The 19,582-nt window shown below is 42.8% G+C and overlaps 1 protein-coding gene across 22 annotated transcripts in view; it reads right to left on the bottom strand.

The window, feature by feature from the left end:
• Positions 1-19,582, bottom strand: part of UBE3B (ubiquitin protein ligase E3B) — a 70,196-nt gene that overhangs the window by 47,780 nt on the left and 2,834 nt on the right. For 15 of the 22 annotated variants that reach the window (XM_011538961.2, XM_047429852.1, XM_047429851.1 and 12 more), the window contains exons 2-12: positions 18,308-18,413; positions 16,338-16,519; positions 16,069-16,189; positions 13,979-14,038; positions 13,475-13,579; positions 11,382-11,478; positions 10,046-10,131; positions 8,923-9,005; positions 2,127-2,232; positions 1,697-1,817; positions 240-417 (exon numbers count right to left, since the gene is read on the bottom strand). In XM_011538961.2, the coding sequence (XP_011537263.1) occupies positions 240-417; positions 1,697-1,817; positions 2,127-2,232; positions 8,923-9,005; positions 10,046-10,131; positions 11,382-11,478; positions 13,475-13,579; positions 13,979-14,038; positions 16,069-16,189; positions 16,338-16,498 (1,118 nt within the window). In that variant the 5' untranslated portion in view covers positions 16,499-16,519; positions 18,308-18,413. Of the gene's footprint in view, positions 1-239; positions 418-1,696; positions 1,818-2,126; positions 2,233-8,922; positions 9,006-9,327; positions 9,561-10,045; positions 10,132-11,381; positions 11,479-13,474; positions 13,580-13,978; positions 14,039-16,068; positions 16,190-16,337; positions 16,520-18,307; positions 18,414-19,582 lie in introns of those variants that run through there. The other 7 variants (XM_047429848.1, XM_047429850.1, XM_011538959.3 and 4 more) reach the window with 3 other exon arrangements.

The raw sequence follows: 19,582 nt of genomic DNA, 5'->3' as shown, positions 1-19,582 counted from the left end.
GGATCAGTATTTCTAGATAGGAAAACTGACAGGATGTTCACTCAAGTTATCTTTGGTTTACAGGATAATGGGCTGGTTTTTATCCTCTTTTGTTCTTACTCACAATTTATTAATATATAATGAATACATATTATTTTTATAATAAGAAACAAAACACCACAAGCTGGAAGAAAGAAAGAAGGAAGAAGAAGATGGTGGGAGAGAGGCAGGAAAGACAGTGATTTGCATCTGGGACTCACCCATAATCCACAGATTGGGAGAACCAGCCAAGGACAGGATGCCAGTGGGTCAGGTTGGACTTCTTCTGAGACACATACTTCCGACAGTAGCACAGCGTCTGGGTGAGCAAACTCACGAACCCATCTGTCTCCTCCTCTAACACTCTGGGGCTGAGGGAGCCCAAGTGTAGGAGGTTGCCTACAGAGAGAGAAGGCTGAGTGTGATGGGCCCAGACAAACATTTTGGTGCCTCCCGGCCCTGCTCCCTGCCTGTGGCTCAGGCGGCCACATCCCATGTGCAGCAAGAAATTTCCACATAAGGGGCACCTGTCAATGCCGGAGGCTGCTGTGTGGTGCAAAGGTAAGAAACGGGCCAAGCTGACTTCAAATCCTGGCTATGCCACAGACAAGGTGAGCCGTGGCCGTCAACCCATGTCTCAAACTTGTTTCTTCATTTGTAAGATTGGAATGATGATCCCTACTCTCCATATGAGGATGAAGTGGCAGGTAAAATGTTAGGCACACAGAGGTAGGTGATATTTAGTTAGTGTTACATTTTAATATTATATTAATGCTTAAAAATCAAGGGTTAACATAAGAAATGGTCTTTGAAGAGTATCTGAGTGTCGTGGGAAGTCGCTGTTATTCAACGTTCACCAGTTAGTCAACGTCACTCGTGTGAACATTCGCACCAGAAACTCCTCATGAAATTTGGCCCCAGGGAAGTTTTTATCTCAAGTCTGTAATCTCGCAGGCTGAGGCGTGTGGATTGTTCGAGCCCAAGGAGACTAGACTGGGCAACATGGTGAAAAACCCCGTCTCCACTAAAAATACAAAAATTAGTCGGCCGTGGTAGTGTGCGCTTGTAGTCCCAGCTACTCAGGAGGCTGAGGTGGGAGGATCACCTAAGCCCAGGAGGTAGAGGATGCAGTGAGCCATGACTGTGCCACTGCAGTCCAGCCTGGGTGACAAAGTGAGACCCTGTCTTCAAAAAAAAAAAAACAAAAAAAACTTTTCCTATCTAAAATAAATTTAGGCAAGGAGAATTCTGTGCCTCTGCCTCAAATGCTTCTATTCATAAACCCTTTCTTCCATCTACAATGAAAACACTGTAAAATAGGTAAAGCAGGCGCTGCTCTGATATAAGCCCCACCTAACTACTCCCTCCCTTCTCTCTTGAGATGGGAATTATCCAGGCAATTCACCACATTTTCACTTTCTCCTTGACTGCCAGGAAGCTAAAGGCTGACATCTAATGTTCATTAACAGTCACTTAACTAGTTTGCCAGGCTGGAATATTTTCCATGTGATTTTTATTTACATGTCTATTTTAACTGTCTATCTAAATACGTGTTTTTTATTGTAAGCACTTCCAATTGTTACAGAAAACAACCAAATCTCTAGAATAGTGACAGGCAAAACACTCGGGCTTTCCCTGATGGCCAGGACACAATCAAGTTCCAGCCACGGATACTTACCCATTAGACAAAGCGTATGGCATCCTTCTAAACTTTCACATACATCACGGCATCGATCTTGGTCTCTTAAAAATATGATGAATTTACGAAGCATGTCATGGGATTCTAAAACAGTGAGGCGCTGCAAAGAATAGCAGACCGTTAAATCAGAAACTGCCAGAAACAGTTTCCTGTAGAGAGTGAACTTGATCACTTGCAGATCACCCGTGGTTATGGAGGATGTGCTAGCAAACACCAAGAAGAAAATGGACAGACAAGAACCCACTTCTTTGGGCTACTAACACAAATGTGTCTATCACGGCCACTGGTCCCAAAGAACAATTAAAGGGAGGTGTGGAAATAAGCAGAGAAGCCATTTTACTTTCTAATGTTTAAGAAGAAAAGAAAAACACAATTGGGTTTTCACGGGGAACTCACAGAGCCTGCTTACCTCAGGGGTCACTGTGCTGAGATGAGTCACCAGAGCAGGCACAGACATGATGTGGATGAGGAACGGCCGAATCAGATTGTCTGAGAACTGTGCAGCAATCACAGGGCTAGACACAGATAGATCCACTCATTCAGACAGGTCTCCGTGTGCATCCAGAACAAAAGCACAACCCCACCAACGTGCTCAAATTCCTAGAAATTATTCTGCGTGGGATTTCTGAGAAAACTGAAGGCTGAAATTGGGGACATACACTGGGGAAATGGACAAGTCAGTGATGGTCCAGTTGCTGATGCCATACTGTGCAGCTATGAAAAACCAGTTTTGAAATTTTACTGACATGAGAGAATGCTCATGCTACAATGAACTTTAAAAAAAGGCAAGATGAAAAACTATATACATGGAAGAGGAAGGAGTTTGTGATGGGGAGGGAGGGAAAAAAGGGGGTTTTGGAGTGCTGGTATAATCGATTTCTCTATTGGGTGGTGCTTACCCAGGTGTGTTCACTCTGTGGTAACTCACCAATAACTCATAATTCAGTTAAGCAGTTTATTTAAAACTATATATACACTATAGATACACAATATATACACATGTAGTGTATCTATAGTATGTATACTATATATAAGTATATATATTGTATAATGTTTCGAAATATAAACACAAATATAGATACATTTTTAAAAGATTGAGGACAGATAAAGTTAACAATGTATCTCTGGTTGTAGAATTATGAGAAATTTTTTTCTTTTTTATGTTTTTCTGCTTTATCTAGGTTTTCTACAATAAGCATGTATTGCTTCCATAATCAAAAAAAGATAAATACTATTAGATAAAATAATGGTCCCTATCCCACACCATATATAAAAAATAATGAAATGAGCCACAGACCTAAATGCTAGTTTTATAACTAAAACTATAAAATTCTTAGAAGAAAACACAGGAGTAAAGCTTTGAGATTTCAGGTTAGGCAATGATTTCTGAGGTTATCACACTAAAAGCACAAGAGTCAAAAGAAAAAAACAGGTAAGTTGTGCTTCTTCAAAGTTTAAAACTTTTGTGATTCAAAAGACACTATCAAGAAAGTGAAAAGACAACCCATGGAACAGAAGGAAACACCTGGAGATCACTTGTCTGAAAAGGGACTTGTATCTAGAGCATATAAAGAACTCACAACTCTCATAAAAGATGAAACATCCAATTAAAAAGTAGACGAAGGATCTAAACATACATTTCTCCAAAGAAGATACACAAATGGTTAATAAGCACATGAAAAGATGTTCAACATCACTAACTACCAGGGAATTGTAAATCAAAACAACAGTGAGATACCCCTGTACAGCCACTGGGATGGCTAAATAAAAAAGACAGATAACAAGTATTGGCAAGGATGTGGAGAAACTGGAGACCTCACACAACACTACTCCTGGGAAGGTAAAATAGCACAGGCACTCTGGAAAATAATTTGGCAATTCTTCAAAAGGTTAAGCATGGAGTTACCACATGACCCAGGGAAGTCTACTCCCAGGAATATGCCCAAGAGAAATGAAAACATATGTCTATACAAAAACTTGTACATAAATGTTCACAGCAGCACTATTTATAATAGCCAAAAAGTAGAAACAACTCAAATGTGGTATATCCATATAATGGAATATTATTTGGCCATAAAATGCATGAAGTACTGATCCATGCTACAACGTGGATGAACTCTGATTATATTACGCAAAGTGAAAAAAGCCAGTAGCAAAAGACCACATATGATGTGATTCCATTTATGTGAGATGTCCACAACAGGCAAATCCAAAGAGATAGAAAGTAGATTAGTTGTTGCCAGGGGTTCTGGGGAGAGGGGAAAAGGGAGTGACTGCTAATGGGTATTAGGTTTCTTTTCAGGGTGATAAAATATTATGGAATTAGATTGTGGTGATTTTTGGGAATAGGCCCCCAAAATCTGGCCATAAACTGGCCCCAAAACTGGCCATAAACAAAATCTCTGCAGCATTGTGACATGTTCGTGATGGCCGTGATGCCCACGGCCAGAAGGTTGTAGGTCTACTGGAATGAGGGCAAGGAACACCTGGCCCACCCAGGGTGGAAAACTGCTTAAAGGCGTTCTTAAACCACAAACAATAGCATGAGCAATCTGTGCCTTAAGGACTTGCTCCTGCTGCAGATAACTAGCCAGAGCCCATCCCTTTATTTCGGCCCATCCCTTTGTTTCCCCATAAGGAATACTTTTAGTTAATCTATAATCTATAGAAACAATGCTTATCACTGGCTTGCTGTCAGTAAATACGTGGGTAAATCTCTGTTCGAGGCTCTCAGCTCTGAAGGCTGTGAGACCCCTGATTTCCTACTCCACACCTCTATATTTCTGTGTGTGTGTCTTTAATTCCTCTAGTGCCGCTGGGTTAGGGTCTCCCCGACCAAGCTGGTCTCAGCAGGTGATGGTTGCACAACTCTGTGAACATACTAAATGCCAGGGAATGGTATGCTTTAAATGAATAAAGTGTATGAGATGTGAATTAGACTTCAATAAAGTTATTTTTAAAAATCACTCAGAGGTCATGCAGAAAAAAAGGTATGAGAACAACTTACAGAGGGGAAAAAAAAGGTTTCTTCTAGCTAATGTGCTCCAATAGCAATGAGCAGAGGTGTTAGTGGTATTTAGGCTCTCAGAATTCACACTATATACTTTCACTTTCAAGAGTACCATTTTTGGGACAAGGATGTTTTATGAAGCTGAAATGCTGAAAATATCAGTACCTATGTTCACCACTTGTCTAGGTGAGGCTAACCAACTGAGCTAACCTCTCTGATCTGAGTGGGGCACATGAAAAGAGAACCATGTTCTTTTCTGCAGGTTAGAAAGAAGTTTAAAACAGAAGAGCACAATTCCCTAAATAGAAGAAAAGCAAATCACAGAGAAAGCTGCTAAAACTACAACCAGTCACTTCGCATTTGCAAGGAAAGGACTGCATTGTTATAAGGGTACAAAGGGCTGTGGCATTCTCTAGGGGTTCTCACAGAAACCTATGGATTCCATCCTGGGCCATATCCCTAAGTAACTTGGCCTGCCTGCCTGACTGGGAGCGACGTATCAGTGGAAGCATTATAGGACTGCAGGGCTGCCTCAATGTTTGGAGGGGTGTGATCTTTTTAGTCCGCATGAGGCCAGACTCAAAAAACCACACACACTGCAAACACTCCTACAACTCCCTCAATTTCTTATTACCGATTTCCCCAGCATGAGGTCAACAGAATCTTTCTTTAGCCTACCTGTAGCTGTTGCATTTAAGTACCTCTGGGTGACAAAGTCTATAAGTGCACTGCTTACTTGATTGTTTAACAGGGCCAGACATGGTGGGGGGTTGAGGAGAAGGATAAACAGAAGAGGTATGACTGATGCACAGTCCCTGCTAACAGAGAGCTCAGAGTACAACCAGGGAGCTGGGCAGGCATATGGGGAAAAACAGAAGCCACGGCTAGTGGTTACATGACTAAGTGCCTGGGCAAACTAGGCGTCCAGAAAATCAATGCCACGGCAGTGTGAGGAACAGGGCAAGTTTGGGAAGGTTCTCAAGTGCTATTTACTAAAAAATATATATATTATTCTTAGAATACAAAAATGTGTCCAACATGTGAGGCAAGTACAAAGAATAAGAAGAAAGAGTATGAGTTCTGGAGTTAAATAGCCTGGGTTTAATTTCTGGCCTGGCCACTCCCTGCTGTGTGACCAAGAGCAAACAGTTTAACTTCTCTGGGCCTTAGCTTCCTTATCTATAAAATGGAGAAAAGCCAGGTGTGGTGGCTCACTCCTATAATTCCAGCACTTTTTGAGAGGCTGAGGCATGAGGATCGCTTGAGGCCAGGAGTTTGAGACCAGCCTGGGCAATATAGTGAGACCCTGTCTCTACAAAAATTTTAAAAATAAAAAAATTAGCTGGGCATGTGCCTGTAGTCCTAGCTACATGGAAGGCTGAGGTGGGAGGATGGCTTGAGCCCGGGAGTTTGAGGCTGCAGTGAGCTCTGATCATGCCACTGCACTCCACCCTTGATGGCAAAGCACGACCTTGTCTCACAAATAAATAAATAAAACGGAGATAAGAGAATGTGGTGAGGAGTCAGTTAATACGTGTAAAAGTTTTAGAACAATGTGTGGCCCATGAATGTTAGCTATTCATATTTCAGGATTTAGTGATCACATCTTGGCACACCACTGACGATTTTATAGACTTTCACTATATTCCTATATGATGAAACCACTGATATCTTACTTTAAAAGGTCCTGATTGTGTTCAATTATATACAAACATTCAGAGGGGAAAAGTTCTATTTGGGAAAAAGGCTTTAGAGTAGCCTGGCCTTAACAAGTGATTCAATGGAATCTAATACATACAGAGAAGAAAAACTACAAGGATGACTGCTGGTTATATTCTTAAAGGAGAATTTAAGTGTGGTAGAATGACTGGATGTGAGCATGTTGGTGAATCATATGTGAATTACAACCACACCAGGACAGGGGAGGGATGCTGGACAGGTAAGAAAGGTGAGGTGCTCCTAGAGCTTGTGTCTCTGGAGGTGGAGGGGGAGGCAGAGCTGCTCCTGAGCTTGAAAGTTCAGGCCTCAGTGTGCTGACCTTCACTGTGTCTGCCAGAGGACAGTGGGCAATGCTGCTGGAATGAGCTGCCCCACAAGGTGACTTGGGTAGGGACAGTTGCAGTGAATCTGTTTCTTAGGCTTCTGGGAAAACCTGTTTGTACCTAGACATTAGGGCTCATTAAATACAACTCACATAACTTCCCTAGAAGTATGAAATGAAGGCACAATTGTTTATTAGATAAATAGTTATACTTCCATAACTAATGATAGCATAACCGGTTACATCCTGTTCTTCTGTGTGAGGGTCTAGCCTCTAGAGGCATGTGGTCTAATATGGTAGCCACTGGCTATATGTGGCTACTGAGCACTTAAAAATGCGGCTGGTCCAAATTCAGATGTGCTCTAAGTACATACCAGTTTTGAAGACTTGGCATGAAGAGAAAAATGTAACACATTTAATTTTAATTAAAATAATTTAAAAATATTGATTACATGTAAAAATAACATTTTGGATATATTAGTTTAAATAAAAACATATCATTATACTAAATTTCCCTTTTATTTTGACTTTTTTTTTTTTTTTTGAGACCAGGTATCACTCTGTCATCCAGGCTGGAGAAGCTCAATCACGGCTCGCTGCAGCCTTGACTTCCCTGGCTCCAGTGATCCTCCCACCTCAGACTCCTGAGTAGCTGGAACCACAGGCACATGGCACCATGCCCAGCTAATGTTTGTATTTTTTGTAGAGACAAGGTTTGGCCATGTTGCCCAGACTGGTCTTGAACTCCTGAGCTCAAAATGATCTGCCCACCTCAGTCTCCCAAAGTGCTGGGATTACAGGCATGGGCCGCCGTGCCTGGCCTCTTTTGGCTTTTTAAATGTGGCTCTAACTGTGTTTCCATCGGACAGACCTGCTCTAGGTCAGCCTTGTCCAACAGAACTTTCTGTGATGCTGGAAGTTTTCTATATCTGTGCTGTCCCACACAATTGCTACTAGTTACATGTGGCCGCTGAGCATTTGAAATGTGGCTAATGCAACTGAGGAAGTGAATTCTTCATTTTATTTAACTTAAATGAATTTTCATTTAAACAGCCCCCTGTGGCTAGTGGTTAGTGGAAAGCACAGTCTAGACCAGGTGTTTATAAACTATGGCCTATTTTTGTAAATAAAGTTTTACTGGAACACAGTCATGCTCATTTGTGTATGTACAATCTACGACTGCTTTCAAGATGCAATGGCAGAGTGGTTGTGACAGAGGCTGTATGGCCCATAGAGTTGAAATATTTATCCGGCTCTTTCCAGAAAATTTGGCCAACCCATGCTCTAGCCCATCATTTTCCAAATAGGTTTTCCATGGAAAATGATTTCATGGGATATCAACGGCATCCAAAAAACAAGGCAGGGGTATTCCATGCTCAGATACGTTTGGGCCAACCCCGGGTTAAATAAGCCCATGGGGTCCTGCTAGCATAGCAGCACTTCTCAGAGCTCTCAGCATGAAGGTGTACTGTAGATCCACAGATGGGGGCAGAGCAGGCAGCTTTCACCAAGCTGGTTCCACCATGACACTCTTCCTTCCAGGATCTTTTATTAACATCTCCCCAAGCTAGTGTTCCCCTTGACAGTTTAAACATGTTCTGGACCTATGAACAAGCATAGTGTTTTACATTTGGCAATTCTCAGAATTGCAGGTGTAATTTCCATAAGGAATTAACTTAGCTTCTTCAGTACCTGACATCTCCAAACTAAGTGAAGGCAAATATCACCTCTTCTCTGGTCCTCCAAATTCTAACATTTTACATGCGTATTCACATTATTTCCTTAATCCTCTCACCCTGCCCTTTGCTGGGCTTCTCCTGGCTCCTAGGTTTTTTGTTTTGTCAATTAAAACTTCAAAAGGAAAAATGATTGCATCTTGGCCTCTTTTAGATAAAAGAAATTCATTTTGAATAGTTTCCAAAGATCACACTGCAATAATATTCAGGGCTGAAGATTAAGAAATATTCAAGACTGAAGATTAAGAAAAAGTTTGAGCAGTCACAAATGTGCTCACTTTCATTAAGAACAATGCTTCCCATAAATTCTGACAAAATGGGCAAGTCTATACCTAATACCAGTAACGAGAGAAAGAAAAACCAAGAGGAGGAAGCATTCAAGAACATGCCAACACCTCAGCTATGGTTTCTTACTCACCGTAACGCTAGAGAAAAAGCTGCTGTTAAAGTGCCTTTGGATAGACAAGGACGGGGTCTTGCCAGGCCACGGGTTAACAATATCTGAAAAGAATGTTTTAATTGGTCAGAGGATGATATCAACTTTATATTCATTTGTACATAAAAGAGCAAAAAAGTAAACTGAGTGCTTCAGATAAAAAAACTGTATTGTGAGCCAGGCATGGTGGCTTGTACCTACAGTCCCAGCTCAGGAGGCTGAGGCAGGAAGATTCCTTGAGGCCAGCCTGGGTGACAGGGCAACCCTGTCTCTTAAAAAAAAAACAAAAAAACAAAAAAACAAAAAACCGTATGCAGTGTTTTTATAAAAGGAAAGGGAAGAAAGTATTGGGTAACGAGGTTAACTCTACCACTCTTTCTCTAAATATTATGGTTAGAAATTCTTTAATAATAAAGTTAAAAAAACAGCTAATACAAATAATGCCAGACTTAAAATTTAAAGACATCATATTATTTTAGAAGCCGTTTAATTATGGTATGAAGTAGAAGGTTCCTCTAGCGAGACAACTGCCAGTCATACCAGCTTCTGCCAACGGACCACCTCACAGGGTTGTTGTGAGGAGCATATGAAACCAAATCAGGAAACAGCCCATCACAGCACTAGGGAGAAGGAAGGGCAAAGTCAACATTACTTCTCAAACTCAAGACTTCCATTGTACCTTTAAACAGCAATCAGGCTTTCTCAACAATTCCCTAGAGGTATGATCTGGCACAACAAGGTACAAAGTGGAAAGGGCTGTTTGAGGACACAGAGCTAGAAATATGATTCTAGACATCAACCAAGAAGGAATCTGAGGGAACAAGCCCTGAGGTCTCCTTCCAGAGTTTAAATGTCAAAAGACTGGATTACCCTTGCAGCCAAAAATGTAGAGCATTCAAGGGATCCCAGCACCACTGTCCTCCCTTTACCTGACCCACAAGTGAGACAAGGCAGGGGAAGGAAGAAGAGGACAGCAGGCATCAAGCTCTTCCTATGAAAAGTGTTTCTGAGGAGGACACCAGGTATGCTGAATGCAAATGTAAAAATCCAAGTGCAGGTGTTGGAGAGTGGAGAAGTTGCACACTGGGGGGCAGGAGTCACAGACCTGCAGCACAGAATAAAATCCATGCTGGTTGAGATGTCCCATTATATTTGCACAAATGTGGTTCATCGCTGGTCGAAGACTTTCACCTAAAGAAAGAAAACAGTGAGAACAAAAAAGTCTCTTGCCATAATGTGACCTGTTTATGTGGGACAGGAAATTGTGTCCCACATCCGAGGCCCTAAGAAATGAGATACCCCCTGGCTTGCCTCCCTTTTCCCTTAGGCCTGGTGCCAGAGCACAGAAAGGCAATGCGTACCTGGAACTCTCTCTCTCCTGGTAGGCCTGGCTCAAGTGTCACCTCTTGAGTGATGGGTCCTCTCACACCCCTAGCCAGAAGTGACGTCTCTGGCCTCTGAGCGCCTGTAGCACCTTTTCTAATTCCCTCCTAGGGCCTAGCACTGCCTTCGCCAGGGGGATGCCTACTCTCCTCAATGGGACATGAGCTTCCCAGCAGGGCCCAGAACTGAACAATTTTTGGGTTCCCCCCAAGAGGCCAGGGTCATGCCTGAAATAAGCCCTCCTTGCTGACCTGGAGCCTTGCATACAGCTTTCCCTGCTTTCCGTTTCATCCCCGCTCTTCACTCTGTGAATCCTAGCTCCCTCTGCAGCTCTCAGCTCACACACCACTTCTTCAGGAAAGCTAGAGACCCAGACCAAGCAAGGCCTCCCCACCCTACTGGACACTCTCATTTCTCTTGCATGCTTCCTTCCAAGCACTTACCACATTATTGTCATTTTATATCTATGAGCGACATCTATTTAATGCCTGTTTTCCTCATCGGACTTTAAGTTCTGTGAGGAAGGGAGCACCTAAAGTCCCTGGAGGGCAATGCCCCTTTCTGTTTTGCTTATCTGTCTTCAGCGCCTAGAGGCATCTGGCATGTATGGGCTACTTGTTGAACAGATGAATGAAATGACCATATGAAACACACGGCACTAACGACACTTACCAGGGAAGGAAGAAGTTTATAATGCAAATTTTATGGGCAAAATAGAATTATTCACAACCTAATGATTTTCCAAGTAAAATGACAAGGCTTAAGTGAATGTAATCACTTGGAGGCTAAGGCACTGTGGGAACTATAAAAATTAAAATCAGAAGAACCATGACTTTAAATGTAAATTCAAAGAAGGGTTGAGTACAACACACAATGCTGAATGGATTGTGGATACTGCGATGCAGTCTGATGGTCAGCACCAAGGGCATCCTCATTTGTATGGTCTCAGGGCCTTCCCTGAGGCTTGTGGCAAAAATGCTTCTTACAAAGGAAAAAAGGTCCCTGAGCTCTCTATGGAAATGTTGGTTAGAGAACATTTTGAAGCAAGTCCCACAGACCTTTTCCCCGAAGAATTTTCCACGTTGAAGTGTCTGTGAAGGTGACAAGCATCGTGAGGTACAGGGTGATGAGTCGGGAGTCCTGCAGGATTTCAGGCTGGAAACAATAAACACAGCAAGATTAAGACACACGTCTTCTGATTCCAGACAGTGAAGTGTTCACTTTACAACTGCTCTATGGGCACTCAGCCTGGAATCACTGAGTCAGGATTATAAGTCAGTCTTAATTCTTTTTCTCTTGGGCAATGACCACTCCAGGAGTTAAATAACAGGGAATGTGGCACTCTAGTGCCTGATAATGGAATCATGGGATTCCATTATTCTTGGGAATGGAGAATTGAGAATCCCTAGAAAACAAGATGACCAGGGCTGGCTTGCTGTATGTACATGTGCCTGCCTGTCTGTCTGAACTCTGCAGCAACAGAGCAGAAATGCAATTGAGCATGACTAGGACTCTGGGCTCAGCCTTCTGACTTCACCACTTACTAGCTGTGTGAGCTTAGGCAAGTTTCTTAACCTTTCTGTGCCTCGGTTTCCTCATCTGTTGACCAGAAATAGTAACACTGCTTTCCTCATAGGGTTGTTGTGAGAAATAAATGGATTAATGCGTATGATGCACTAAGAACAGTGTCTGGCACATAGATAACTCCATGTAATGTTGGCTGCTGTTCTAATTTTGATGACAGTTCATTGTTTCACCAAGTGTAAGTCAAGCAAAAGGCCTGACTGCTTTCTAGGCCCACAGACCCTATAGCAGGTCCACCTGGAAGGGACCTTGGAGACAACCTTGGAGACCACTGAGTTCAAACCTCAAAGCTCATCGACAGTAAGAGAGGGGAAGCAGCTTGTTCAAGGCCACGTGGGAAATGAACAGCAGAATCAGGACTGAATTTCACATATTCCTGGCTCCAGAGTCAGGGCCCTTTTTCTCCTGACGTCTGTTTCTTTGCATAAACTTTTTTTGTTTGTCCAAAATAGAAGAGCTTCTCCTCAAAGAGCAATCTGTTGTGGAATGTACACATAGAGAGCAGATAAACAAGGATCTGCCTGGCTCGCGTGCAGGTAGGGAAATACCCTGCTCACTTGGCCCTAAGGCATTCTGGTGGACTCCCAGGGCTCCGAGGAACATAGTGTGGAAACCCTGCGCTGAGCCATGTCTCACCTGACAAGCCAGGCATGGCAAGAGCCATTCCTGAGCAGCCAAAGAGGGATGGCTGGGAATGGATTATTACTGGGGTTGGGGGCGGTCTGGGGACTTTCGTTCCATTACTGAGCTGCTATCTGTGTCCTTGCCAAGCCTCTGTCCCTGAGACCTCTCTATCCTTATAAGCAAAGTGGAAGTGGCTCCTGTGTATGTCTGCTCACACCCCTGTCCATCCTTTTCAGAACACTGAAGGGGGTAGGGGAACACAGGACCAGGCTGGGCTAGTGGCAGTACCCCATTCCTCTTGCCACTGTGACTGGTTCAGAGATGAACCCAGGATTCACTGGACCTACAAGAAACCTGGATTTTTGAACTGGTCGGGAGGCCTCTCCTCCCTTTAGTCAAGACAGAGTAAGAATATAAAGTCAAAACTGCTCGTTGCCATGATTACAGCAGGAAAGGACGAGGTGACCCCAAAAGGGAGCAGGGATGAGAGAAAAGAATGAGAGGGAGAATCAGAACCCCCTAGCTCTCCTTACTCTAGCTGCCACGTTACTGAATATATTCTAGAGCACAACGTTCTCTTCCTTGCTTAACTGGTACGTGATACTAGCTGTGCTCACGTTCGGCTTCTGTACTTTTAACAAGAGGCCTGACTAGTATAATAATGTAGATCATAAAGTACTGATTACATTAAATGAATGGGAAGGAAAGTGACAGATTCCCTGCCATGGAGGCTGTGGCGTGGCAAGCAGTTTAAGGGTCCAACACACACCAAAGGAGGGCTCATATTGATAACAGAATCAAAATTCCTCTCTTCCAGAACAGTGGCTCAACTAGCAACTCTCGTTGATAGTGACTCTGAAAATACAGACTAAAGTCTACAGGTGAAAATGACATACGTACTGTTTCTGGTTTTGCTTTTTTTTTTTTTTTTTTTTTTTGTTACCTTGAGCTGCTTGAGAAAATCACAGCAGTACCACAAAATGTTCTTGATCTGTTGAATCCAAAGGAGGGTGAGGTCCTTAGAACAAGCCAGGGACACATACCACACCTATAGGTGGGAAAAAGAGGAATGTCATGGGCTGTTATAGAGATCATATCACTTGTGCTCTAACTGTTGGAACTGGACCTATTAGTTAGGTCCAGTGCCAGATAAAGCAGTGGACCTGAATGGACAAATAAGCTGTAAACAGGACTTATTTTAACACTAAACGCAAAGACAAAATAGCCTAGTAAGAAAATTTACTATCCTGTGTTGTGGCAAGAGCAGAACGTAGCTACCTGGATCATGAAGAAACTAAGGAATCATTTGTACTTTGGTAATGTTTTCCATCCACTACTTATTTGCATTTGTGTGTGAATTGGTCCTAATATTCAACAGGAACTTTCAGAGCCCAGTAGGTTGGCCCTTAAGAGCTTGTGGGAGACACTGCGGCTCCCGTCCACTTACCTTAGGCTCATTCTCAGCATCCATGCTGCTCAGGATGCTGCGACACAACTTCTCAAATCTCTGCAAAGAGACACACTGGGGGTTATACATTCCCACAATCCATCAAAAAGTGAAAACAAAGAAAACAAGCCTTCAGCGGGTACCTGGCACGTGCAGGTATTATGCCAGGTGATTCACACATAATCACATGCAGTTCCTTCCTACAGATGAGGACACTGAAGATCATAAAGACTAAAGGGTTCTCCAACTGGTGGCCCAAGAGCTGGAGGAACCCTATAGAAATGTTTTAGAAACTGGTATACTTCACATAAAAACCCAAATTGAGGCTTCTTTCAAAAAACAGTATCAATCTGGCAAACTGGATTTGGATTCCTGCAGGCCTGCTGCTGTCTCCTCAACTGTGCTCTCCAGTTTACCTTTTCTTAAGCACCATGGATACTGACTTTTGCCTCACAGCCAGTAGCCAAAGGCTGCTGTATCATCACTTTTATCCTGTAATGCAAAAGGAAGAAAAGTGGAAACTAGAAAACAGGTTCCATTTTGGCTATACCAATCCTGGATCCGCCCTTAAACCATGTGATATTGGGCAAGCTGCCCTACCACCCTGAGCTGCAGTTTCCTTCTCTGTAAGATGAGGTTCACCTCCTCCAGCTTATCTGTCCTCATCTACGTAATCATGTGTTCACTGCCTGCATAGTCCTCCCTCTCTTGCTGGGCTATGAGCTCCATGAGCGTAGAGATCTTGCCCGTCCTGTTTCCTCCCAAGGGCCCAGTGCCTAGAGAGGGTTGGCACAATGTGAAGCTTAGCAATAGGAATGCCTAACAGCCTAACAGCTGGTAACTTGGAGACATGCCTCAGTGGCATTGTTAGTACTATTACAGATAACTAGCTGCTTTTCTGGGATTACACTTTTCAGGCTGATCATTCTAATCCCTAAGGTGCAAACTGGCACCTTTTGTATGATTTGCAGGATATTTAAAAAATTTCAAATTAATTGCCAAGATTTACAAATTAGAACATTGATGGTAGCTCACGCCTGTAATCCCAGCACTTTGGGATGCTGAGGCAGGTGGATCACTTGAGCCCAGGAGTTTGAGACAAGCCTGGGCAATAAGGTAAAACCCTATCTCTACAAAAAATACAAAAACTTGCTGTGCATGGTGGCACACACCTGCAGTCCCAGCTACTGAGGAGGCTGAGGCAGAAGAATCGTTTGAGACTTGGGAGGTCAAGACTATAGTGAGCTGTGATAGTGCTACTGCACTCCAGCCTGGGCGACAGTGAGACCCTGTCTCAGAATATGAAAGAATGAATGAACGAACATTGAGCATAAAAACTCAGATCTTTGGCATCTCTTTAAAAAAAAAAAAAAAAAATCAGAGGCTGGGTACAGTGGCTCACGCCTGTAATCCCAGCACTCTGGGAGGCTGAGGCGGGCAGATCACAAGGCTAAGAGATCGAGACTATCCTGGCCAACATGGTGAAACCCCATCTCTACTAAAAATACAAAAATTAGCTGGGCGTGGTGGCACGAGCCTATAGTTCCAGATACTAGGGAGGCTGAGGCCGGAGAACTGCTTGAACCCGGGAGGTGAAGACTGGCAGTGAGCCAAGACTGCGCCACTGCACACCAGCCTGGCGACAGAGAGAGACTTCATCTCAAAAAAAAATCAGAGTATGAGTCCACCACCGAGGTGTGTAGTAGCTGCTCCCCGTGGATGGGGCAGGCCACAGACCCTGCTACTCCTTTTGATGTCCTTACCACTGCTGCCTGTCAGTTACCGTTTAATATGATTTGTATTTTGTATTATGTTTTATCTCATATATGTTTTTTTTACTCATTTACCTAAACTTCCTGACTCTTGCATGCATCTGAGTTCAACTTGTGCTTATAATGGTCAATGTGAAAAGATTCCTAAAAGCACTGGGCATAATCCCTCCAAAACAGGTCCCAAGAAAACAAAAGGGACAGGATGTGAGGGTGACAGTAATTACCTCATAAAGCTGCTATAAGAACTGAGTTAATATCAATAATTATAAAAGATCTGACATATGGAAGTATTATACATGTTTGCTATTATCGTTTTACCTCATTATCCTCTTTGATTCTGAATAGGAACAGCAGTTTCCTGGCAATCTTGAAAATACAAAGTGCACTTCTTTTAGTGGACTCAGGGTCATCTGCTTTAAAAAAGTCATCAATCTCTCTCCTAGAAAAGAAAGTGCAAAAAAAGACATTTTAAATTAACAGCTTGTAGCACCTGGAAGGCTTTTCAAGCACTTTATGAGAAAAAACTCATTTATCTGCTATTAATTGGGAGCCAGAGAATCATGTGCTAGGGAGATCCTAGCCCTTACCTGATATCTCTCTGCAGTCGACTCCGACAGAGAAAACTCCGGACATGGGCCTGGATCACAACAGCTGCCCGCTCCCGTTCCTTCTGCACAAGCCTTTCTTCTCGTGCCTGACGGGCTCTATCGATGAACCATGCTCTCGAGGTCTGAGACAGGGTGAACATGTTTGCAAACTTGCACAAACCCTGCAAGGAAAATGGGCAAGTGGGTGTTGTAGATTGTTGTGTGAAAAACACACACAGAAAGGGGCTCAAGAGCAGAGGGTGGGCAGGGACCTGGGCAGCAGAGATACTCAGGACCTGTCAACACCCTCCAAAGCGCTAACAGCTCTCCGGCACAAGTCCCTACCTCCTATAGGCTCTTTCATGCAACTCACCAAGACCAGGGATGCTACATCCTATATTAAATAATCACATCTTCTTAAGGGAAAGAGCACAGCACCTGGCATAGGATAAGGGCAGGCCCAGCTTTACGAATGAACAAAGAATGAATCAGTCCCACCCATAAAGCTCTAATTCAAACCAGGTATCCTATAGGTCAAAGATTCCCAGATATTTGAATTTTCTGGAGTAGTCCACAGTATTTGGGAAACCAAAACTGAGAGGTCAGCTTTTATTTTGCCAAGTAAGGACTCGAGAGAAAAATCCAACATGATTATTTGCTGTCATCATCATTGTATTCATCCATTCACTAAACAAATATTTACCAGTGCATACTTTGTGACAGCACACAAAAAAGAAAGGGCCATTTCAACATTAACAAAGCAAAAGGTACACACTTCAGAATGCAAGACAGTCCATTATATTGAAGATATTTGGTTTTATGTATAGCTTATTCCATTGTCCTTACAATTACCATCCTGCCAAGGACCAGTGAAGACTTTACTGTAGAACTGGTCCTGTCCACTAACGGGTGCTTTTCTGAAGAGCAGCTCTAAATTATATACTAAGTTTTTATCTAAATCACCAGTAACTGTTTTTTCCTAAAGGAACAGCTTTTGCTAGCAGCCTAAAGCACACAGCACTGACCCCCGGAGGCTCCCATATTGAGATGATTTCTTTAGATGCTTGATGACATTGCCATTCTATACAAAATGCACAATCAGCCCAGTTAAAAACACTGAAATGAATTATTCAGAAATCCAGACTTCCAGAAAACAATCTCTCTACCAGGCTACTTTACTTGAAGTAGCACCCACATGAAAATATCATCCAGAGTAAAAAGTCGGATGGCTAGAACTAGGGGCCATCTATCCTAAGTGAAATAACTCTGAAACTGAAAGGCAAATACTGCATGACCTCACTTAGAAGTGGGAGCAAAACAATGGGCCCACATGGACAAACAGAGTGGAATAAGATAATGGAGACTCCAAAAGGTGGGAGATGGGACAGGGGTAAGGATTGAACAATTATTTATTGGTACAATGTTCACCATTCGGGTGATGGGTGCCCTAAAAGCCCAGACTCCACCATTACACAATATATGCATATAAGAAACCTGTACCCCCTACATCCATACAAAGAAATTTAAAAATTATTAAAATAAACATTGGACTTAATAGTATTATCTCCTAGAGGTATTAAATTAATTACGTGTTATTGAAAGGCATTTAATAAGTGTGCTCTATTATTAGTATTAATAAGGACAATAAAATAATACCCTTTTATAACCAAAAAAAAGTTGGTGCAAGCCTCCCACCACATGAACATATCAAGGGACCTCTGTGACCCCTTCTCAACAGTGATCTGTCAAACATCATCAGTAATCCTTGAAACAAACTAACAGAGCCCACTTGACCACAGGAGGGAAGGTATTAGGTTGGTACAAAAGTAATTGTGGGTTTCAACTTTTTTAAAAAAACACTAAGTCGTAATTACTTTTGCACCAACTTATAAAAGGCTTGGAGAGAAACGGTAGCCATCTTCTGAATCATTTACGCTTCCTGCCCCAGCAGTAAAGTCTGGAGATCTCACCTGAGGACCTGCCTGTGTCGCAGAAATGCCAGGTAATCATTAGTGATCTTGCACAGGACTCGTGGCTGAGAACAGCTTCTCACTTCAGAAAAGCTTGTTATTTTTTCTGGCAGAAGCAGAAGAAAAAAATCCAGACTTAGGGTTAAATTTTATAGGTGTGGTATCATACATCTTCCTCACTGAGTAAAAGTAGTAACTACAATGCCAATGGTTTTTTAAAAACACCACTGGGTCCTCTTTATTTAATGTCTCATCTAAATGTTATACTGTATCTCTTCAATCCTCACAGTTTAAAGGGAATATGTTGAAAATAAATCCCAAAGTTGTTGTTGAATTACAGCTGTGATGGGAAGCAAAATAACTTAGAGGTCATGGAATGTTAAAGAGCTACTGAAAATTATATTTGACATTTTCCTTTTTTTTTTTTTTGAGATAGTCTCACTCTGTCGCTGAGGTTGGAGTGCAGCGGCATAATTTCAGCTCACTATAACTTCTGCTCCCAGGTTCAAGCGATTCTCCTGCTTCAGCCTCCCAAGTAGCTGGGATTACAGGTGTGTGCCACCATACCCTATCTCAGTTGGGGTTACAGGTGTGAGCCACTGTGCCCGGCCATGTTTGACATTTTTTTTTTTTTTTTTGAGACGGAGTCTTGCTCTGTCGCCCAGGCTGGAGTGCAGTGGCGCGATATTGGCTCACTGCAAGCTCCGCCTCCCGGGTTCATGCCATTCTCCTGCCTCAGCGTGTTTGACATTTTTAATGATAATGGAAAAACGTTTATGCCTTAGAAGTGAATAAAGGGCTGCCTGTGGACCAATAAGACCCCAATTACCTAAAGAAAAATGTACACACACACAGATACAAAACTAGCATGAACTATACCAACATGTTACCAGTGGCTGTTTTGAGGTACTGAAATTGCGGGAAATTTTTCTTAATTGGTCTGTATTTTCTAAATTTTCCACAGCATGCACATGGTGAAGCAGCACTGCACAGTGAGGGGCACACGGGCTTTGGGAGTCACACAGAGTTGGAGCCAGTCCCTAGCTCTGCCACATACTATAGGGAGAATGTCTAAGTCTTTTTTTTTTTTTTAAGGCAGGGTCTCGCTCTGTCATCCAAGCTGGAGTGCAGTGGTGCAATCATGGTTCATTGCAGCTTCTACCTCCCAGGCTCAAGCGATTCTCCCACCTCAGCTTCTCAAGTAGCTGGGACCACAGGTACATACCACCACATCTGGCTAGTTTTTAAATTTTTTGTAGAGGTGGGGTCTCGCTA

Source organism: Homo sapiens, chromosome 12 (assembly GCF_000001405.40).
Source record: "Homo sapiens chromosome 12, GRCh38.p14 Primary Assembly".
In the NCBI taxonomy this organism is placed as follows: Eukaryota; Metazoa; Chordata; class Mammalia; order Primates; family Hominidae; genus Homo; species Homo sapiens.
The sequence above is the reverse complement of the archived record's forward strand: the minus strand, read 5'-3'. Positions and strand labels throughout refer to the sequence as shown.